This window comes from Homo sapiens, chromosome 17 (assembly GCF_000001405.40).
Source record: "Homo sapiens chromosome 17, GRCh38.p14 Primary Assembly".
Classification (NCBI taxonomy): domain Eukaryota; kingdom Metazoa; phylum Chordata; class Mammalia; order Primates; family Hominidae; genus Homo; species Homo sapiens.
This window is the reverse complement of record NC_000017.11, coordinates 51,082,192-51,102,218: the sequence shown is the minus strand read 5'-3', so window position 1 is coordinate 51,102,218 and position 20,027 is coordinate 51,082,192. Positions and strand designations below refer to the sequence as shown.

At 41.7% G+C, this 20,027-nt stretch overlaps 1 protein-coding gene and 1 non-coding gene across 6 annotated transcripts in view, besides 2 other annotated features; both read left to right on the top strand.

Annotated features, from left to right (window-relative positions):
* SPAG9 (sperm associated antigen 9) overlaps nt 1-20,027 on the top strand; it is a 158,695-nt gene that overhangs the window by 18,650 nt on the left and 120,018 nt on the right. The window lies entirely within an intron of this gene.
* Nucleotides 3,120-3,620: an enhancer, noted in NCBI's record as "H3K4me1 hESC enhancer chr17:49175960-49176460 (GRCh37/hg19 assembly coordinates)". NCBI's record gives its function as "activates a minimal SCP1, AML or CMV promoter by ChIP-STARR-seq in primed H9 embryonic stem cells {active_cell/tissue: H9 hESC(primed)}" and the evidence as "EXISTENCE:reporter gene assay evidence [ECO:0000049][PMID:30033119]".
* On the top strand, nt 3,941-4,045 carry LOC124904125 (small nucleolar RNA U13). The gene has a single exon (XR_007066003.1). It is a non-coding gene; the product is annotated as a small nucleolar RNA U13 (small nucleolar RNA).
* Nucleotides 8,077-8,371: a silencer, noted in NCBI's record as "tiled region #10137; HepG2 Repressive DNase matched - State 5:Enh, and K562 Repressive non-DNase unmatched - State 23:Low". NCBI's record gives its function as "represses a minimal TATA promoter and a strong SV40 promoter by Sharpr-MPRA in HepG2 and K562 cells {active_cell/tissue: HepG2 | K562}" and the evidence as "EXISTENCE:reporter gene assay evidence [ECO:0000049][PMID:27701403]".

Here is a 20,027-nt window from a genome sequence, read left to right as displayed (position 1 = left end):
TAGAGACGGGGTTTCACCATGTTGCTCAGCCTGGTATCAAATTCCTGAGCTCAGGCAGTTCGCCCACCTTGGCCTCCCAAAATGCTAGGATTACAAATGTGAGCCACTGTGCATGGCCCATGTTAGACCTTTCTAATCAGGATTCAGCAGTACCTTAGAGTAACAGATAAAATGGTGAGTAAAACAACATTTATTTCTGAAGAAAACATTTGTTCTAAAGAAAAATAAACAATTATTTTTGGGGGCGTGGAAATCCATGTTGGTTAAAAGCCTGTGCTAGACTATTATGGTATAGGCCAGGCGCGGTGGCTTATGCCTATAATCCCAGCACTTTGGGAGGCCAAGGAGGGCAGATCACCTGAGGTCAGGAGTTTGAGAACAGTCTGGCCAACATGGTGAAACCCCGTCTCTACTAAAAATACAAAAAATTAGCCAGGCATGGTGGCGGGTGCCTATAATCCCAGCTACTCCGGAGGCTGAGACAGGAGAATTGCTTGAACCTGGGAGGTGGAGATTGCAGTGAGCTGAGGTTGCACCATTGCACTCCAGCCTGGGCAACAATAGTGAAACTCCATCCCTCCCCTGTCCCCCTCAAAAAAAAAAGGACTATTATGGTATAAATCAAATTTCTAGTTTTAATTATGTACTCCTCAATTTTGAATTTTCTTTCAGTTACCTGTTCTAGCCTAGCCACATTTTGTTACTGCTACCTGTCAGAAACAAATACCTTTTTTGTTTGTTTGTTTTCTATTTTTATTTTTTGCCAGGCATCAGATGATGGCAAAACAAATACCTTTTTAAAGGTTAAGCAGTTTTTTCAAAGTGTAGCATCAAACCAGAAAGGTAATTTTTTTTTTTTTTTTTTTTTTTTTTGAGACAGAATCTCACAGTGTCACTCAGGCTGGAGTGCAGTAGTGCGATCTCGGCTCACTGTAACCTCTGCCTCCTGGGTTTGAGCAATTCTCCTGCCTCAGCCTCCCAAGTAGCTGGGACTACAGGTGTGCGCCACCAAGCCCAGCTAATTTTTGTATTTTTAGTAGAGACGGTGTTTCACCAAGTTGGCCAGGATGGTCTTGATCTCTTGACCTCGTGATCCACCTGCCTTGGCCTCCCTGAATGCTAGGATTACAGGCATGAGCCACCATGCCCAGCCCCATAAGGGTCACTTTTAAAAAGACGATTGCCTATGGTTTCTCTGTGAAAATAGTCCATTTGAACTTGTTTGATGTAATTTGGACACATTTGGCAGAAATTACACACTCATTTTTGGCTTTGTTTAGTTTTAACTTTTTTTTTTTTAGACGGAGTTTTGCTCTTATTGCCCAGGCTGGAGTACAATGGCGCAATCTTGGCTCACCGCAACCTCTGCCCCGCCAGGTTCAAGCGATTCTCTTGCCTCAGCCTCCCAAGTAGCTGGGATTACAGGCATGCACCACCATGCCTGGCTAATTTTGTATTTTTAGTAGAGAGGGGGTTTCTCCATGTTAGTCAGGCTGGTCTGGAACTCCCAACCTCAGTTGATCCTCCCGCCTTGGCGTCCCAAAGTACCAGATTACAGATGTGAGCCACTGCACCTGGCCATTTTTTTTTGAAGGCAGGGTCTCTCTGTCCTAGACTGGAGTGCAGTGGCACGATTATGGCTCACTGCAGCCTTGACTTCAGTCTCATGTGATCCTTCCACCTCAGCCTCCCAAGTAGCAGGTACTGTAGGTACTGTCACAAGTATTATAGGCATCAAGCCAGACACCACCATGTCCAGTTAATTTTTGTAATTTTTGTAGAGACAGGATCTCACCATGTTGCCCAGGCTGGTCTGAAACTTCTGGGCTCAAGCAGTCTGCCCACCTTGGCCTCCCAAAGTGCTGGGATTATAGGTGTGAGCCACTGTGCCTGACCCTAGTTTTAACTCTTTAAAAAATACTTTTATCTTGGGATAGGAATTCAGTCCATAATTGGCTCAGTTTTAACCATCCTTAACCTAGCCAAGGGCCAGGAATTAAACAGAATTCTCAGCAGCCAAATTAAATGTCTCAAGCATTAAAGTTTGTTATCTTGGCTTACTGAAGAAACATTTAAGTGCAAAGTGCTTATTTACCCTTATTTTATTTTTATTTTTTTGGAGACAGAGTCTCACTCTGTTGCTCAGGCTGGAGTGCAGTGGCACAATCTCGGTCCATTGCAACTCCCGCCTCCCAGGTTCAAGTGATTGTCTTGCCTCAGGCTCCTGAGTAGCTGGAGTTACAGGTGCCTTCCACAATGCCTGGCTAATTTTTTTATTTTTGGTAGAGACAAGGTTTTGTCTTTTTGGCCAGGCTGGTCTCGAAGTCCTGACTTCAGGTGATCCACCTGTCTCGGCCTCCCAAAGTGCTGGGATTACAGGCGTGAGCCACTGCGCCTGGCTGGGTCTTTTTTAAGATAACAATTTCTAGTTTTTTTTTTTTTTTTTTTTTTTTTTTTTTAGTAATAGAAGAATATTTTCATAACAGAGTCAAGTGTTGAAGCAAAAACCACAGTGTCAGGATTGAAGATCTGTAAATTAAAGTCAGAAATGTAAGATGTTGGCCATATACCTACAGAAGCACATAACTGTGTAACAAAGTTAGTAAGGCATCACTTGGCTGATGTAGCAAACATCATAACACAGGTAGAGCATTCCTAGTCTGAAAATGTGAAATCTGAAATGCTTCAAAATCTGAAACTTTTTGCATGCTGAGATGACGTCACAAGTTACTTTGAACATACTACTATTTCACTGTATTTTTTTTCCTTTTTTTTTTTTTTTTTTGAGACAGAGTTTTGCTCTTATTGCCCAGGCTGGAGTGCAATGGCGCTATCTCGGCTCACTGCAACCTCCGCCTCCTGGGTTCAAGCGATTCTCCTGCCTCAGCCTCCCAAGTAGCTGGGATTATAGGAATGCGCCACCACGCCTGGCTGATTTTGTATTTTTATTGGAGACGGGGTTTCTCCACGTTGGTCAGGCTGGTCTCAAACTGCTGACCTCAGGTGATCTGCCCACCTCGGTCTCTCAAAGTGTTGGGATTACAGGCGTGAGCCACCACGCCTGGCCAATTTTCACTGTAGTAATGGTACATCATATTCTTTTTTTTTTTTTTTTTTTTGAGACGGAGTCTCGCTCTGTCACCCAGCCTGGAGTGCAGTGGCACTATCTCAGCTCACTGCAGCCTCTGCCTCCTGGGTTCAAGCAGTTCTTCTGCCTCAGCCTCCCCAGTAGATGGGACCACAGGCAAGCGCCGCCACACTCGGCTAATTTTTGTATTTTTAGTAGAGACCGGGTTTCAGCATATTGGCCAGGATGGTCTTGATCTCCTGACCTTGTGATCCGCCCGCCTTGGCCTCCCAAATTGCTGGGATTACTGGCGTGAGCCACTGTGCCCGGCCCAAAGTAACCAATTCTTTAAACCCATCCGGCTGGGCACAGTGGCTCATGCCTATAGTCCCAGCACTTTGGGAGGCCGAGGGGGGCGGATCACCTGAGGTCAGAAGTTCAGACCAGCCTGACAACACAGAGAAACCCCGTCTCTACTAAAAATACAGAAAATTAGTCTGGCGTGGTGGCAGATGCCTGTAATCTCAGCTACTGGGGAGGCTGAGTTAGGAGAATCGGTTGAACCCTGGAGGCAGACGTTGCAGTGAGCCGAGATCACACCACTGCACTCCAACCTGGGCAACAAGAGCGAAACTCCGTCTCAAATAAATAAATAAATAAGTAAAAACCCATTTACCCCCACAGGCTTGTGAGACTGGTTGGAAGAAGTGCTGCTAGGCAGGGCCTGTGTGTTTGGAAAAAAAAATCACTCAGGGTGTTTGTGATTATAACTGTCTCACCCTTCCCTCTAATTCAGAAACCATTGCTTAAGAGTGGAAAAAAAAAACCACGAACTGTCTGTCTTCTGCTCTCACACCAAAAACAATCAGCCCGCTGTATTTGTAGTTCATGAGCATGGTGATTGGGTGTTCATGCAGGTGTGTGAGATATGCCACCCTTGAACCTTGTTACAACACTGGCACATTCTCAGACCTGAAAAAAAAAACACACATAACACAGAAGACTTCTGTGACCAAATATGTGGGGTAGGGCAGGTGCAGTGGCTCATGCCTATAATCCCAGTGCTTTGGGAGGCTGAGGCAGGTGGATTGCTTGAGCCCAGGAGTTTGAAACCAGCCTGAGCAACATGATGAAACCCTGTCTCTACAGAAAAATACAAAAATTAGCTGAGCATGGTGGCATGTGCCTGTAGTCCCAACTACTTGGAAGGCTGAGGCAGGAGGATTGCTTGAGCCCTGAAGGTCGAGGTTGCAGTGAGCCCTGAAGGTCAAGGTTGCAGTGAGCTGGGATCGTGTCACCTGCACTCCAACCCAGGCAACAGAGTGAGACCCTATCTTAAAAAGCAAACAAATAAAAAAATATGGGAGTGTTTTTCCCTACCAGCAAGCAATCAGTTCTGCATCAGGCACCAGCTAGGTGTCATCTAACTTAATACTGACACTGTCTACTTGAGATAGTGTCACATCCCACAGTTTGAGGTCTCAGTCCCCAAGACTACCGACAACACTTATGCCAATCTCAAGCCTCAGGTTATTTTACCTGTGCTTCTGACCAACCTGCCATGTATATATATGTACATATATATGTATATGTGTGTGTGTGTATATAATGTAGATACCATAATTTTTTTTCTTTATGAGATGAAGGTCTTGCTGTGTTGCCCAGGCTGATCTTGAATTCCTGGGTGCAAGCTGTCTTCCTGCCTCAGCCTCCGAATCACTGGGATTACAGTCATGTGCCACCTTGCCCAGCTACTGTCTTTTATTTTTGATGAATCCTCTGTGTCCAGTACAGTCTCAACTGGCTATAAACTGGGGTTCCCACAACCCCCTCCTCAGGTTCAGTTGACTTGCTGAATGGTTTGCAGAACCTGGGGAAACAGTTATGTTTACTGTTACAAAGGATGTAGATGAAAAGATGCGTAAAGCAGGGTATGGGGGTAGTGGTGCAGAGCTTCCATGCCCTCCCTGTACATGTCACCCTGCAGGAACCTCCATGTGTTCAGCTATCTGGAAGATCTCTCAACCTTGTTCTTTTGAGTTTTTATGGAGGCGTCACTACGTAGGTATGAAACCATTGGTCATTGGTGATCAACTTCACCTTCAGCCCCTTTCCCCTCCTGGGAGGTTGTGTGGGGTGGGCTGAAAGTCCTAACCCTCTAATTATGCTTTTGGTCTTTCCAATGACCAGCTCCCATCCTTAAGCTATGTAGGGGCTGCCAGCCATGAATCTACCCATTAACATACAAAAAGACATCTCTCTGGAGATTCTAAGGATTTTAGGAATTATATTTTAGGAATTATATGTTAGGAAACTGGGTCAGAGACCAAATACGTATTTCACGATATCACACTGTTACATTCTTATATAATCTTGCATTTTATTTTTTTTTACCTGTTGATCTGTCCATGTTGATATACATATGCATCTAATTCTTTCCTTTTAACTGCTGTGTATTCCATCGATGACATGAATATACCACTATCCATTCTTCATTACCACATTATATATTACAAATGTTGTTGTAGTAACATTCGGTGCATATGTAAGATCTTCTCAAAGTATATATTTTAGAAATAGGATGCCAGGTTTTAGGATATGTATTTGTAAAATTAACTAGATAAGGTAACATTGCTTGTCAAAGGAGTGCAGTGATTTATATTCCTATCAGTAGTATAAAAGACTTCTTATTTTCTTGTATCTTTGCCAACACTTCCTGCACTATCAGACTTTTTGGTTTCTGTTGCCTGTCTGATGTGGTTGAAACCACTTCTTTCTTTCTTTCTTTTTTTTGTTTTTTTTTGAGACAGAGTCTCACTCTGTCACCCAGGCTGGAGTGCAGTGGAGCAGTCTTGGCTCACTGCAACCTCCGCCTCCTGGGTTCAAGCAATTCTGCTGCCTCAGCCTCCCAAGTAGCTGGGACTACAAGTGCATGCCTCCTCCATGTCTGGCTGATTTTTGTGTTTTTAGTAGAGTCAGGGTTTTACCATGTTGACAAGGCCGGTCTCGAACTCCTAACCTCAAATGATCCACCCACCTCAGCCTCCCAAAGTTCTGGGATTACAGGTGTGAAACCACTTTATATATATATATATATCACTATATATATATATCACTATATATATATATCACTATATATATATATCACTATATATATATCACTATATATATATATATCACTATATATATATATCACTATATATATAACTATATCACTATATATATCACTATATATATATCACTATATATATCACTGTATATATCACTATATATATCACATCACTATATATATATCACTATATATATCACTATATATCTCTATATCTCTCCCTATATATATCTCACTATATATCACTATACGTATATCACTATATATATCACTATATGTATATCACTATATATATATCACTATATGTATATATCACTATATGTATATATCACTATATATATCACTATATATATATCACTATATATATATATACACATTTTTTTCTTTTTTTGGAGATGGATTCTCACTCTGTCGCCCAGGCTGGAGTGCAGTGGCATGATCTCGGCTCACTGCAGCCTCCACCTCCCAGGTTCAAGTGATTCTTCTGCCTCAGCCTCCCGAGTAGCTGGAACTACAGGTGCGCACCACCATGCCTGGCTCATTTTTGTATTTTCAGTAGAGAAGGGGTTTCATCATTTCTCAGCCTTTGGCTAAGATCAAGTGAGACGGGGTTTCACCATGTTGGTCAGGCTGGTCTTGAACTCCTGACCTCATGATCTGCCCCTTCAGTCTCCCAAAGTGCTGGGATTACAGGCGTGAGCCACCGTGCCTGGCTGCCACTTTTTTTTTTTTTTTTTTTTTTTTTTAAAGATGGAGTCTCACTCTGTCCCCCAGGCTGGAGTGCAGTGGCGAGTTCTCGGCTCATTGCAAGCTCCATCTCCTGGGTTCCTGCCATTCTCCTGCCTCAGCCTCCCGGTAGCTGGGACTACAGGTGCCCGCCACCACGCCCGGCTAATTTTTTTTGTATTTTTAGTAGAGACGGGGTTTCACAGTGTTAGCCAGGATGGTCTCGATCTCCTGACCTCGTGATCCATGCACCTCGGCCTCCCGAAGTGCTGGGATTACAGGCGTCAGCCACCGCGCCCAGCCTGGCCACCACTTCTTATTTTAATTTGCTTTTGTCAGATCAGTAGTGTGCTTGAGCATGTTTTACATTTACTGGTGATTCTACTTCTCTGTGAATTGCCTATTCAGTTTCATTCACTGATAACTGGCACAAACTATGTCTGGAAGTACATAGCTATATATTTTTAATGGTTTTATAGTATTCCATTATAGGATCATCACTTAGGTGAAAAGGATCATTACTTGGGGAATCCAGAGTTTAAAAGAGACTTAAGAGATATATTATCCAAATGTAATGTATGAACCTTGTTTGGATCTTGAGTGTAAAAACATATATGAGACAACCTGGAAAACTGGATATTCCTTATTATATCATTAGGGGTTGGGAAATGGTGCTATTTCAATCCAGTTATTCCTTCAACATTTATCAGCTAAATTTTCTTGTAAAGGAAACTTCCCCTCATCAACTGTTTGGTTACCCTAAGGTATAGTTTGTATATAAGAAAGACAAAAAGTGCTGGATTCGTCAATTCATACTTTAATAATTTCCAAGTGCTCTTTCCTGTTTTGTTTCCCTCCTCACTACTTTTAAAAATAGCATACTATTCTGGTTCCATGGGAGCAATGACTTTTCTTTGGTCTCTGAGTATATTAATTATAGTTTTCATTTGTTCCCTGCTTTGTCTGTTTTGTCAGAGTCCCATTTTTATTTCTTATAGTTTTGGTTTCTCTCTTTCAGGCTAGAACTTAAAGTGCCTTATAATTCTTAATTATCCTTCATGTTTTAAAAGTGAGACACTAAAAAAGGAGGGTTGGAAGCTTTGTGTGCCTGGATACAGTTTACTGCCTCTTGGCAACCCAGATTTCAATATCCCATGGTCCTTTCGTAGAGACACTTGAGTTTTTCCAGAGAAGGATAGTCTCTTTGAGGTGTGGCTGGTGGAGTGGTAGGTAAGCCTAGATATTTACATTATTGCAACCTGGATGAAGGCAGGAAGGAGGCCCTATTACTGTTTAGTACGTAGACTTTAGACCTTCATGTAATTCCACTTGTCATTTGGCACCTGCCTGGCTGTGCCTAGAGTGTTCCTAGTCTAAAATTTCTGGTTGAGTTTATTGAGAAAACAAACCTCTTATTTCCTGTGTGGGTGAGCAAGGAAGGCCACCTGGCCAGTCTGGTGTGGGACTGTCTACCTACTAGGGATATTACTAACTAGTGATTTTAGACTTCCACTCAACCCTCCTGTTTTCAGTCCCACCCTCACACACCACACCAGTTTTCTATTACATACTTTCCATAGTATGGATCTGTTATAATTTTCTTTTTTTTTTTTTTTTTTTTTGAGACGGAGTCTTGCTCTGTCGCCCAGGCTGGAGTGCAGTGGCGCAATCTCGGCTCACTGTGAGCTCCATCTCCTGGGTTCACGCCATTCTCCTGCCTCAGCCTCCCGAGTAGCAGGGACTAGAGGCACCCGCCACCACGCCTGGCTGATTTTTTTAGTAGAGACGGGGTTTCACCATGTTAGCCAGGACGGTCTCGATCTCCTGACTTTGTGATCCACCCGCCTCAGCCTCCCAAAGTGCAGGGATTACAGGCGTGAGCCACCATGCCTGGCCAGATCTATTATAATTTTCTTATCCACTGTCTGTTGATAGACATTTAAGTTATCTTCCAGTTGTGAACTGTTACAAATAGCCCTTCAATGAATGTCTTTGTACATGCCCCTTTCTGCATATTTGCTTTTTAATGGCAGGACAAACTTTTTTCATATTAAACACCACTGATACTTTTATTCCAATAATTTATTTTCATTTTTTTGTTTTTTTTAAAAAGAGGGTTTTGCTATTTTGCCTAGGCTTGTCTCGAACTCCTGAGCTCAAGCAATCTGTCCACCTCAGCCTCCCAAAGTGCTGGGATTACAAGCATGAGCCACTATGCCTGGCCAACTTTTTTTTTTTTTTTTTTTTACAGAAATATCTAAACATTGATGATTACCGAGAATAGTAGAATATATTTGAACTCCCATATACCCATCATTCAACTTCAGCAGTTACCAACAAAATGCCAATATTTTTTCTTTAGAAAAAAAAATTTTTTAAGAGACATTTGCTTGCTCTGTAGCCCAGGCAGGCGTGCAGTGGTGTGATCATAGCTCACTGCAGCTTAGAACTCCTGGGCTAAAGCAATCCTCCCAGTTTAGCTTCCTGAGTAGCTAGAACTACAGGTGTCTGCCACCACGTCCAGCTAAATTTTTCTTTTTCTTTTTTTCTTTTTTTTTTTTTTTTGTAGAGACAAGGGTCTCTCTATGTTCCCCAGGCTGTTCTCAAACTCTCGGCCTCAAGTGATCTTCCCACCTTTGCCTCCCAAAGCACTGAGATTACAGGCGTGAGCCACTGTGCCTGGCCAAACCAATTTTTCACCATAATATTAAGGCAGACCAAAGACTATATCATTGTATCTTTAGGAGATAGGGCTGTTTAACAAATATAACCACAACACCATTAACACATCTAAAACTTATAAACAATTACTCTTTAATAATATTTAATACTTAATAAGTGTTCATATTTCCCTAATTGTCTCTTAAATGTAGTTTTGTAGTTGGTTGTTTTCAATCAGTATCTAAACAAGAGAGTCTATACATTTATACTTGGTTCAATATGTCTCAAGTTCCTCTTTATATAATGGTTCTTTTTTTCTTTTTTTCCCCACTTGACATTTATTGTAGAAGAAACCAAATCATTTGTGTTAAAAAATTTTCCACATTTTGGACTTGGAAGGGATTATATCCCTTGAGTGTTATTTAATATGGTCTTCAATCCTGTCTTATTTCTTAAAAGAAATTACATTTAAAAACAATTACATTTAACTAATTAATATAATATCTTGATGGACACTTAATAAGCCAGCCCTTTATTTGATACTATTTTTTAGACAAGTACTATAGTCAAAGTATTTAAATGGCTATTCTTTTTCTTTTCTTTCTTTTTTCTTCTGCATCTTTACTCCAACAAGCAACAACCTTTAGGGAATTTTTTTTTTTTTTTTTTTTAACTTTGGGAGCTTGTCTTTTCAAAGTATTCATTTGTTTTTCCCCAGAACAGTGGGGCGAAACAGTCCCTATAAGCCATCTGGACTTAAAAGCATTTTGCTTCATCACAAAGCTTACTCTTTTTAGATCCTGACATAAGTCTGTATTGTCCACTGATTTTTTTTTTTTTAACGGTGTCTAGTTGCTCCCAGGAGAGTTGTCTGAAGTCACTTTAATGTTGTTGCTGGCCTATTAGTTATTGAAAGGGAAGAGGGGTATTTAGTGAAGATGTGTTATTATACCTGCTGAAAAAGCTCATTCACAGGCCCTTAATCCCCCTAGTCCTTAAAAAAAAGTGGGTATGTGTGTGAGAAAAACAGAAAAGGGGAGGAGTATGTGCGTTTCATACCAACATACCTGAGTGATCTGACAAATGCTTGTGCTGAGGGGACTCTCTGGAATTTCCAGGGCTAATGTGGTTTTATAATATGCAAACAACAACAACAACAACAAAAAAACAGAAAAACAAACAAAAAAAACTGCTGCGCTTCTCCTGCCACGATTTTGCTGTTGGCCTAACCCTATCGTGGTTATTCTAAGGTTTGCCAAGCGTAGTAGAGGGTGACCAACTTATAAAGTCATGCCACTGGCAAGCAATTAAGTCACATTAAATCATTAATGACTATCCTAGACTTTTTATGAGCATTCATTTCCTTTTTTTTTTTTTTTTTTGTATACAGGGTCTTGATCCGTCGCTCAGGCTGGAGTGCAGTGGCTCACTCTCAGCTCACTGCAACCTCTGCCTCCTGGGCTTGGTGATCCCCTCCCACCTCAGCCTTTGAGTAGCTGGGACTACAGATGCACACCACTACACCAGGCTAATTTTCATATTTTTCGTGGAGACAGGGTTTCGTGGAGACAGAGTCATATTGCCCAGGCTGGTGTCGAACTCCTGAGCTTGAGTGATGAGCCCTCCTTGGCCTCCCAAAGTGCTGGGATTATACAAGCATGAGCCACCGTGCCTGGCCTGTGCTTTTTCTTGTTCACATATGTAATTTCAGTGTGGTTACATTATATGCAGACTTGAACTATGTGATTTTTAAAAGTTTCATTTCATATTCAGAGTTTGAAATGTTACCTTCTCATTTCAGAAAGTCTTCAGAAATCATGTTATATGAAAGCCTGACTGAGCTGTAAACCAATGTTGTGCTGTTATCCTATGTTGGTATTACCTAGGCAGTAACAGAAATATCAGCCATCTCTTATCAGCCTTAACCTCAATTAGGTGACTGTTGAATTATGCAAGATCTTTTGTAAATCGATCTTTTTTATAAAATGTAATTACCCATGATTAAGACCTTTCATCTTCTGTTAAATTTCAATCAATAGAACATAGGGCTCTCTTGTAACTTACTACATTTCCCAGTACCTTGGAATATTTAAAACAATAGGGGCTCAAGTTGTGTTTTGAAAAGATGGATGAATGTAATCTTTTTTTTTGAGATGGAGTCTTGCTCTGTTGCCCAGGCTGGACTCGGCTCACTGCAACCTCTGCCTCCCAGGTTCAAGCAATTCTCCTGTCTCAGCCTCCCCAGTACCTGGGATTACAGGCATCTGCCACCACACCTGGCTAATTTTTGTATTTTTAGTAGAGATGGGGTTTTGCCATGTTGGCCAGGCTGGTCTTGAATTCCTGACCTCATGATCTGCTTGCCTCGGCCTCCCAAAAATGCTGGGATTACAGGCTTGAGCCACCGCACCTGGCCAAGTGGAATCTTACTTGTCTTTTTTACTCGCTTTGTGAATCAGAGAGATTCTCAACTTATTCTTTAGTTTATAGTTTACCTTTACATCGACTCAAAATTTAATGGTGAATTGTAGTTACCTGGGCATGCCATGATCTTTAGACGTTTGCATGTGCTGTGACCTCTGCCTGGAATGTCTTTATCTCAGTAAAGGTTTTAGGCAAACCATTCCTTTTAGAGTAAGCTAAAATGACTTCTCTCTTTTTTAAAAAAATAGTATATATGGCCGGGCACGGTGGCTCACGCCTGTAATCCAGCACTTTGGGAGGCTAAGGCAGGTGGATCACCTGAGGTCAGGAGTTCGAGACCAGCCTGGCCAACATGGTGAAACCTTGTCTCTACTAAAAATACAAAAAATTAGCTGGGCATGGTGGTGGGTGCCTGTAATCCCAGCCACTCGTGAGGCTGAGGCAGGGAGAATTGCTTGAATCTGGTAGGCAGAGGTTGCAGGGAGCCAAGATCATGCCACTGCACTCCAGCCTGGGTCACAGAGCGAGACTCCATATCAAAAAAAAGAAAGTGTGTGTGTGTATGTGTATATATATATATATATATATATATATATATATATATATATATAAAATAAAGTGTATATATATACATATAATAAGTAGATATACACATATATATTATAATTATATATATATAATTTTATTTCAATATTTTTTGGGGAACAGGTAGTTTTTGGTTACATGGATAAGTTCTTTAGTGGTGATTTCCGAGATTTCGGTGCACCTGTCGACTTCTTTTTTGTTTGTTTGTTTTTTTGTTTTTTTGAGACAGAGTTTCACTCTTGTTGCCCAGGCTGGAGTGCAATGGCACAGTCTCACCTCAGTGCAACCTCTACCTCTTGGGTTCAAGTGATTCTCCTGCCTCAGCCTTCCAAGTAGCTGGGATTACAGGTGCCCACCACCAGGCTCAGCTAATTTTTGTATTTTTAGTAGAGACAGGGCTTTACCATGTTGGCTAGGCTGGTCTCGAACTCCTGACCTCAGGTGGTCCACCTGCCTCGGCCTCCCAAAGTGCTAGGATTACAGGCATGAGCCACCGTGCCTGGCCCAACTTCTGTTTTTTTTTTGTGTGTGTGTGTTTTGTTTTGTTTTGTTTTTGAGACAGAATCTCCCTCTGTTGCTCAAGCTGGAGTGCAGTGGCGCAATCTCGCTCACCGCAACCCCTGCCTACCAGGTTCAAGTGATTCTCCTGCCTCAGCCTTCCGAGTAGCTGGGACTACAGGCGGGTGCCACCTCGCCTGGCTAATTTTAGTATTTTTAGTAGATGCGGGGTTGCACCATGTTGGCCAGAGTGGTCTCCATCTCTTGACCACATGACCCACCTGCCTCGGCCTCCCAAAGTGCTGGGATTACAGGCGTGAGCAACTGTGCCCACCTCCCATTTTTTTTTTTGAGACGGAGTCTCACTGTGTTGCCCAGGCTGGAGTGCAGTGGCACGATCTCGGCTCACTGCAAGCTCTGCCGACCAAGTTCATGCCATTCTCCTACCTCAGCCTCCTGAGTAGCTGGGACTACAGGCGCCCGCCACCAAGTCCGCCTAATTTTTTTTGTATTTTTAGTAGAGACGAGGTTTCACCGTGTTAGCCAGGTTGGTCTCGATCTCCTGATCTCGTGATCTGCCCACCTTGGCCTCCCAAAGTACTGAGATTACAGGTGTGAGCCACTGTGTCCAGCCTTGACTTCCCTTTTTTAAAGCAGATTTAGTCACTTCTTCCTCTCTGCTTTCATTATAGCACTTAGCGTGTTACACTGTAAATGTTTATGATACGTCTTTGATGGCTCTCATACAGTGAGTACTCCTATTGGATGGGTGGGCAAAGAGTTTTAGTTTTATATTTAACATGTTATTTTATCTAAGAATAAGTCCTATGAATGACATTACCTAGTTTGTAGTAAATATCATCATGCTGCCTAACTGCCTAGCATTTGGAGAATAGGCATTGTGAATAGGTGTGTGGCTTAACTATTACAACAGCTTTTTCCTAGTCTCTTAACTATGACAAGTTTTTCTTTGACTACAGAGTGACGGACTGGGATGTTTCCTATTTTTGTTATCTCAGTTAGTGTGTTAAGTGGAAATTATAGAAGTAGAAGGCAGACATGTTTCTTTGAAGTAAATCAAGAAGACTTTAAAAAGAGGGTCAGGGCCAGGCATGGTCGCTCATGCCTATAATCCCAGCACTTTGGGAGGCTGAGGCAGGAGGATCGCTTGAGCTCAGGAATTCGAGACCAGGCTGGGCAACATGGTGAGACCTTGTCTCTACTAAAAATAAGAAATAAAAAAAATTTAGCTGGGTATAGTGGCACATGCCTGTAGTCCCAGCTACTCAGAAGGCTGAGGTGGGAGGATCGCTTGAGCCCAGGAAGTCGAGGCTGCAGTGAGCCATGATTGTACCACTTCACTTCCAGCCTGGATGACAGAACAACACCTCATCTCTAAAAAATAAGTAAATGAAAATTAAAAATTAAATTAAACAATAAAGAAGGTCAGCCATGCTTGTACTATACAAACCTAGTAATGAGGTTCAGCAGAACTCATGTGCTACCAGCCCAACTAAGATCTCTGAATGTAGAAGGGAAGCAGAAAGCCCTGAGAACTTTCTTTTTAGTGTAACCCATGCCACTCATTGCCCAAGTATTTTGTTGATAGTATGAAAAGGTTAGGTATAGAGACAAAGAAACTATTCTCATTACTTCCCTTATGCTATACCTCCAGCCTTCATCCAGGAAAAAAGAGGACTCTTACTAGGACCACGAATCCAAACCTTTTTCTGCCAAGAGCTGTATTTTGGCATCTGTTTGAATTTCATGACACCGTCTCTGTTTCTATTCCTGTTTTCTCATTCATAAATTCTTATATCAATGTTTCCCACTTTCACATGATTGCTAATTGCTATATAGAGCTATGCCATTTCTGAAGTATTTTTGTAATTATGAGTGTTCTGCTTTCTGAGCTATTCTACCCTACAGCAACTTCTGTTTATGAGGTTACCTATATTGTCAGGGATATTTCTCAAAACAGTGGCCCAAAACTAGACTATTTGATGGATATTTTTCTTGGATAGCAATTTAGAAACTTCCAGTCACTTGTTACTTTTTCTTGATTCTTGATTATTCTTTGAAAGTTAGTATTACATTTATCCTACTCAGCTTTCAGTGCCCTGTGTAAGCTATTAGGGATGTCTTATCAGAACTGAGGAACTTTTATTTTTGTTGCATATTAGTGATTAGCATTTTATTTTTTATTTTATTATTTTATTTATTTTTTGAGACGGAGTCTCACTCTGTCACCCAGGCTGGAGTGCAGTGGCACCATCTCAGCTCACTACAACTTCTGCCGCCTGGGTTCAAGCAATTTTCCTACCTCAGCCTCCCAAGTAGCTGGGATTACACACACCTGCCACCACGCCCAGCTAACTTTTGTGTTTTTAGTAGAGACTGAGTTTCACCATCTTGGCTAGGCTGGTCTTGAACTCCTGACCACCCACCTTGGCCTCCCAAAGTGCTGGGATTATAGGCATGAGCCTGTAATTTTTGGAGACAGAGTCTTGCTCCATTGCCCAGGCAGGAGTGAAGTGGTGGGATGTCGGCTCATTACAGCCTCCACCTCCTGGGTTCAAGCGATTCTTGTGCCTCAGCCTCCCGAGTAGCTATGACTACAGGTGCATGCCACCATGCCTGGCTAATTTTTTTTTTTTTTATCGTGTTTTCAGTAGAGATGGGGTCTCACCATGTTGCTCAGGCTGGTCTCAGATTCCTAAGCTCTGGCAGTCTGCCCACCTCGGCCTCCCAAAGTGCTAGGATTACAGGAATGAGCCACTGCACATGGCTGTGATTAGCATTTTAAATGAGGATGGCAGCTGTACGTTTCCAAACCAAGACTTAATACACATTTAAAATTGGGATTTTCAGCCGGGTGTGGTGGCTCACACCTGTAATCCCAGCGCTTTGGGAGGCCGACGCAGGCAGATCACCTGAGGTCAGGAGTTTGAGACCAGCCCAGCCAACATACTGAAACCCTGTCTCTACCAAAAATACAAAAATTAGCTGAGTATGGTGATGCATGCCTGATTCAGCTATGGTGATTCAGCTACTCCAGAGGCTGAAGCACGAGAACTGCTTGAACCCAAGAGGTGGAGGTTGCAGTGAGCTGAGATTGCACCACTGCACTCCAGCCTGGGCGACAGAGTGAGACTCTCTGTCTCAAAAAAAAAAAAAAAAAAAAAAAAATGATTTCCAAGAGGATAAAAAATTATTTTTACAAAATCAACCTCAATAGTGTTTATAAATGGGGAAAAATCCTCCTTGATTTCTTTTAGAACTTGAAGATGCACTGATAAATGTATATAGCTTTGAGTTTCACCTATTTATCTTTCTGGGTATAAGATCTGTTTTCACAATATACTCAAAAGAGTTTATGATTCCAAGAAGTTTAAGATCTACTTAGAACAAGAAAGGAGAAAATGTGCACACGTTTGTGAAAGACAACATTCCATTTTGTAATCTCTAAGTTTATCTGTTTTAATTTGTTTGAAGGAAATGACTCAAAGTATGTATTTGCTTTGAAATATTTTTATTATTGCTCGTACTTTCCTGTGAAAGGAAACTAAAGAAACGAGATTTCTCTTTGGAGATAATAGCCTTGCCAATCCAAGACCTGTCACATCACTTAAAAAAAAATCTCTTTTCTCTCTGCCATATTTATTTAAAGTGATATAGATAAAAAGCCTCAGTAGTCATAATAAAACGTGAAAAATTCTGAAGCTTGAATCATTCCACAAAGGTAGGTCTTTTTGGAATTGTCGTATTCTGTGGTATCCATCTTCTGAAGCTGAACTTGGTCGCTAAGCAACAAAGCAGATGTGAAACTGTGTGTCCCTTATTAGGTGTCTCCTATTAGGCAGAAAGGAGTTGTAAATAAGCAAAATAGTGGTAAAAATTTTTGGTAGCAGTTTAGTAGCACAGCATCTTCATAATGCTATATGTTTTTTAAAATAGTATTTTATCCATAGCACAAAAGGTGCCTAAGATAAGAATTTCTGGGCTGGGTGCGGTGGCTTACGCCTGTAATCCCAGCTCGGCCTCCCAAAGTGCTGGGTTCACCTGAGGTCAGGAGTTGGAGACCAGCCTTGCCAACAAGGTGAAACCACATCTCTATTAAAAATACCAAAATTAGCCAGGCATGGTGGCTCATGCCTGTAATCCTAGCTACTCGGGAGGCTGAGACACGAGAATTGCTTGAACCTGGGAGGTGGAGGCTGCAGTGAGCCAAGATCATGCCACTGCACTCCAGCCTGGGCAACAGAGCCAGACTCCATCTCAAAAAAAATAAATAAATAAAAAGCAAAATAGTGGTAAAATTTTTTGTTAGCAGTTTGATAGCACAGCATCTTAAGTGTTACTTGGTAAACATAATGCTGTATGTTCTTTAAAACAGCATTTTATCCGTAACACAAGAGGTGCCTAATATAAGAATTTCTGGACTGGGTGCAGTGACTCACACCTGTAATCCCAGCACTTTGGGAGGCCAAGACAGGCAGATCGCTTGAGGTCAGGAGTTCGAGACCATCCTGGCCAACATGGTGAAACCCCGTCTCTACTAAAAATACAAAAAAATTAGCTGGGCGTGGTAGCCCATGCCTGTAGTCCCAGCTACGCAGAGGCTGAGGCAGGAGTATTGCTTGGAGGCAGGAGTATTGCTTGAAGCCAGGAGATGGAGGTTGCAGTTAGCTGAGATGGCACCACTGCACTCCAGCCTGGGTGACAGAGCAAGACTCCATCTCCAAAAAAAAAATTTTTTTTTTGGTTACTTTCCCAGATATAGTAGTTAAGTTAGCCAAGGGAGCATCATTTTCAAAGCAGGCCAAAAAATAATTACATTTTCCTATTAATTCTTAGTCTTTGCTTATATATCAAGGCAAAATGTTGAAATAACTTACTCAGACTTCATAGTTTCTGCTTTTCTATTTAACGTAACCTTACATCATCTGCTTGCATTCAGTTCTAGCCAATGAACACTTGGAAGGCAGGGCTAGTTGGATACTCATAGTCATGTTCCCTGTGCCTGGTACATAGTAAGTAGTCAGTAGATGTTTCTTGAATGAATGAATGATTTATTAGTTTGCCTCTTTTCCTATATTTACTGTAACCTTTACTTTTCCTATATATGGTCATCTTGAATATTCTGAAAAATAAACAGTGACTTGATTTCCCCAGAAGTCCCACAAATATGAAATGTTTTCATAGAAAAGTATAGCGAAGAGGTGCTAAACTTGGGGTTTGTGGAAGGAACTACAGTGTCTCTAAGCCCTCTGAGAAAAATAGGTGGCATTTGACATGGGCGGGGGCGTTTTTTCTGGGGAAATATGGTTCATAGATGGATCAAATTTCCAAATTGGTCTTTGGACCCCCTAATGATTAAGAACCAATGTTATAGGGTTTGTAGTTTTCAGGCTTCAAAGATCAGGAAAGTTAAACATGGTGGCTCACACATGTAGTTCCAGCTACTCTGGAGGCTGAGGCAGGAGGGTTGCTTGAGCCCAGGAGTCTGAGGCCAGCAGTTCAGCAGTTGTAGACCAGCCTGACAACATAGTGAGACCTACATCTTAAATAAATAAATAAATAAATAAATAAATAAATAAATAAAATAAAGAGGCTGTGTGTGGTGGCTCACGCTTGTAATTCCAGCACTTTGGGAGGCCGAGGTGGGTGGATCACTTGAGGTCAGGAGTTCGAGACTGGCCCGGCCAACATGGTGAAACCCCGTCTCTACCAAAAATATACAAAAATTAGCCGGGTGCGGTGGCAGGCACCTGTAATCCCAGCTGTGCGGGAAGCTGAGGCAGGAGAATCACTTGAACTCGGGAGCCAGAGGTTACAGTGAGCTGAGATGGTACCAGCGCACTCCAGCCTGGGGGACACAGCGAAACTCAGTCTCAAAAAAGAAAAAAAAAAAAAAGAAAAAAGAAAAACCAACTCAAGCTTATGTAAAAAAGGAATTTATTGGATTTTGTAACTGAAAAGAACAAAACACACTGGGAAAATTCTGGCTCCAGGAATCCTGGGTACAAATAGTATCTTTAATTAAAGTTTTTCTCCCCTTTGCTCTTTTTCTCTATATTGGCTTTAGTCTCAGGCCTGCTCTTCTCTATGCTGGAAAAAGATGTCAGTCTGCAGCCTAGGCCTGCTAGGTTTTTAGAGTTTAAGAACTGGCAGATGTCCCAGAGAGGACATCTCAGTTTGGTTCAAATCATGTGCCCACCCCTAGGGAGTTGGGGTCATCACCAATCAAATTACATGGACTGAATATACTTAGCATGAAACTGGAGAGAGAAAGTTCCCCAAAGGAACGTAATGTGTGTAGACAAAAAAACAAAAACAAAAACCCATGTCCTCTGCAGTGATTGAAAAGTTTGAGGACAGTTAATATAGGTAATAGACTGACAATTTCATGTTAAAACTAGGATATATTGTAGTGATACCTAAGTTTTTTGTGAATTATAAATTTTTCTATAAGGGTTTCAGTTTTTTTAACTTGGAAAATTTTCTTCATTTATTCATTTGTTTAACAAATATTTGAGAACCTGCTATGTGCTGCTATCATCATTCTTTGTACTGGGTATACAGCAGTGAACAAAACAAAAATCCCTGACTTCATGGAACCCACATTCTAGTGAGGACAGACAAGTAATAAGTAACATTAATTACTAAAATAGCATGTTGGATGAGGTTAAGTACTCTAAAGAAAATAAACAGGGAGGAGAGATAGGGAGTAGGTATCACAGGTTTTTTTTTTTTTTTTTTTTTTTTTTTGAGACAGTCTTGCTCTGTTGCCCAGGCCAGAATGCACTGCAGTGGCACAATCTAGGCTGACTGCAACCTCCATCTCCTGGGTTCAAGCAATTCTCCTGCCTCAGCCTCCCGAGTAGCTGGGATTACAGGCGTGCACCACCATGCCTGGCTAATTTTTGTATTTAGTAGAGATGGGGTTTCACCATG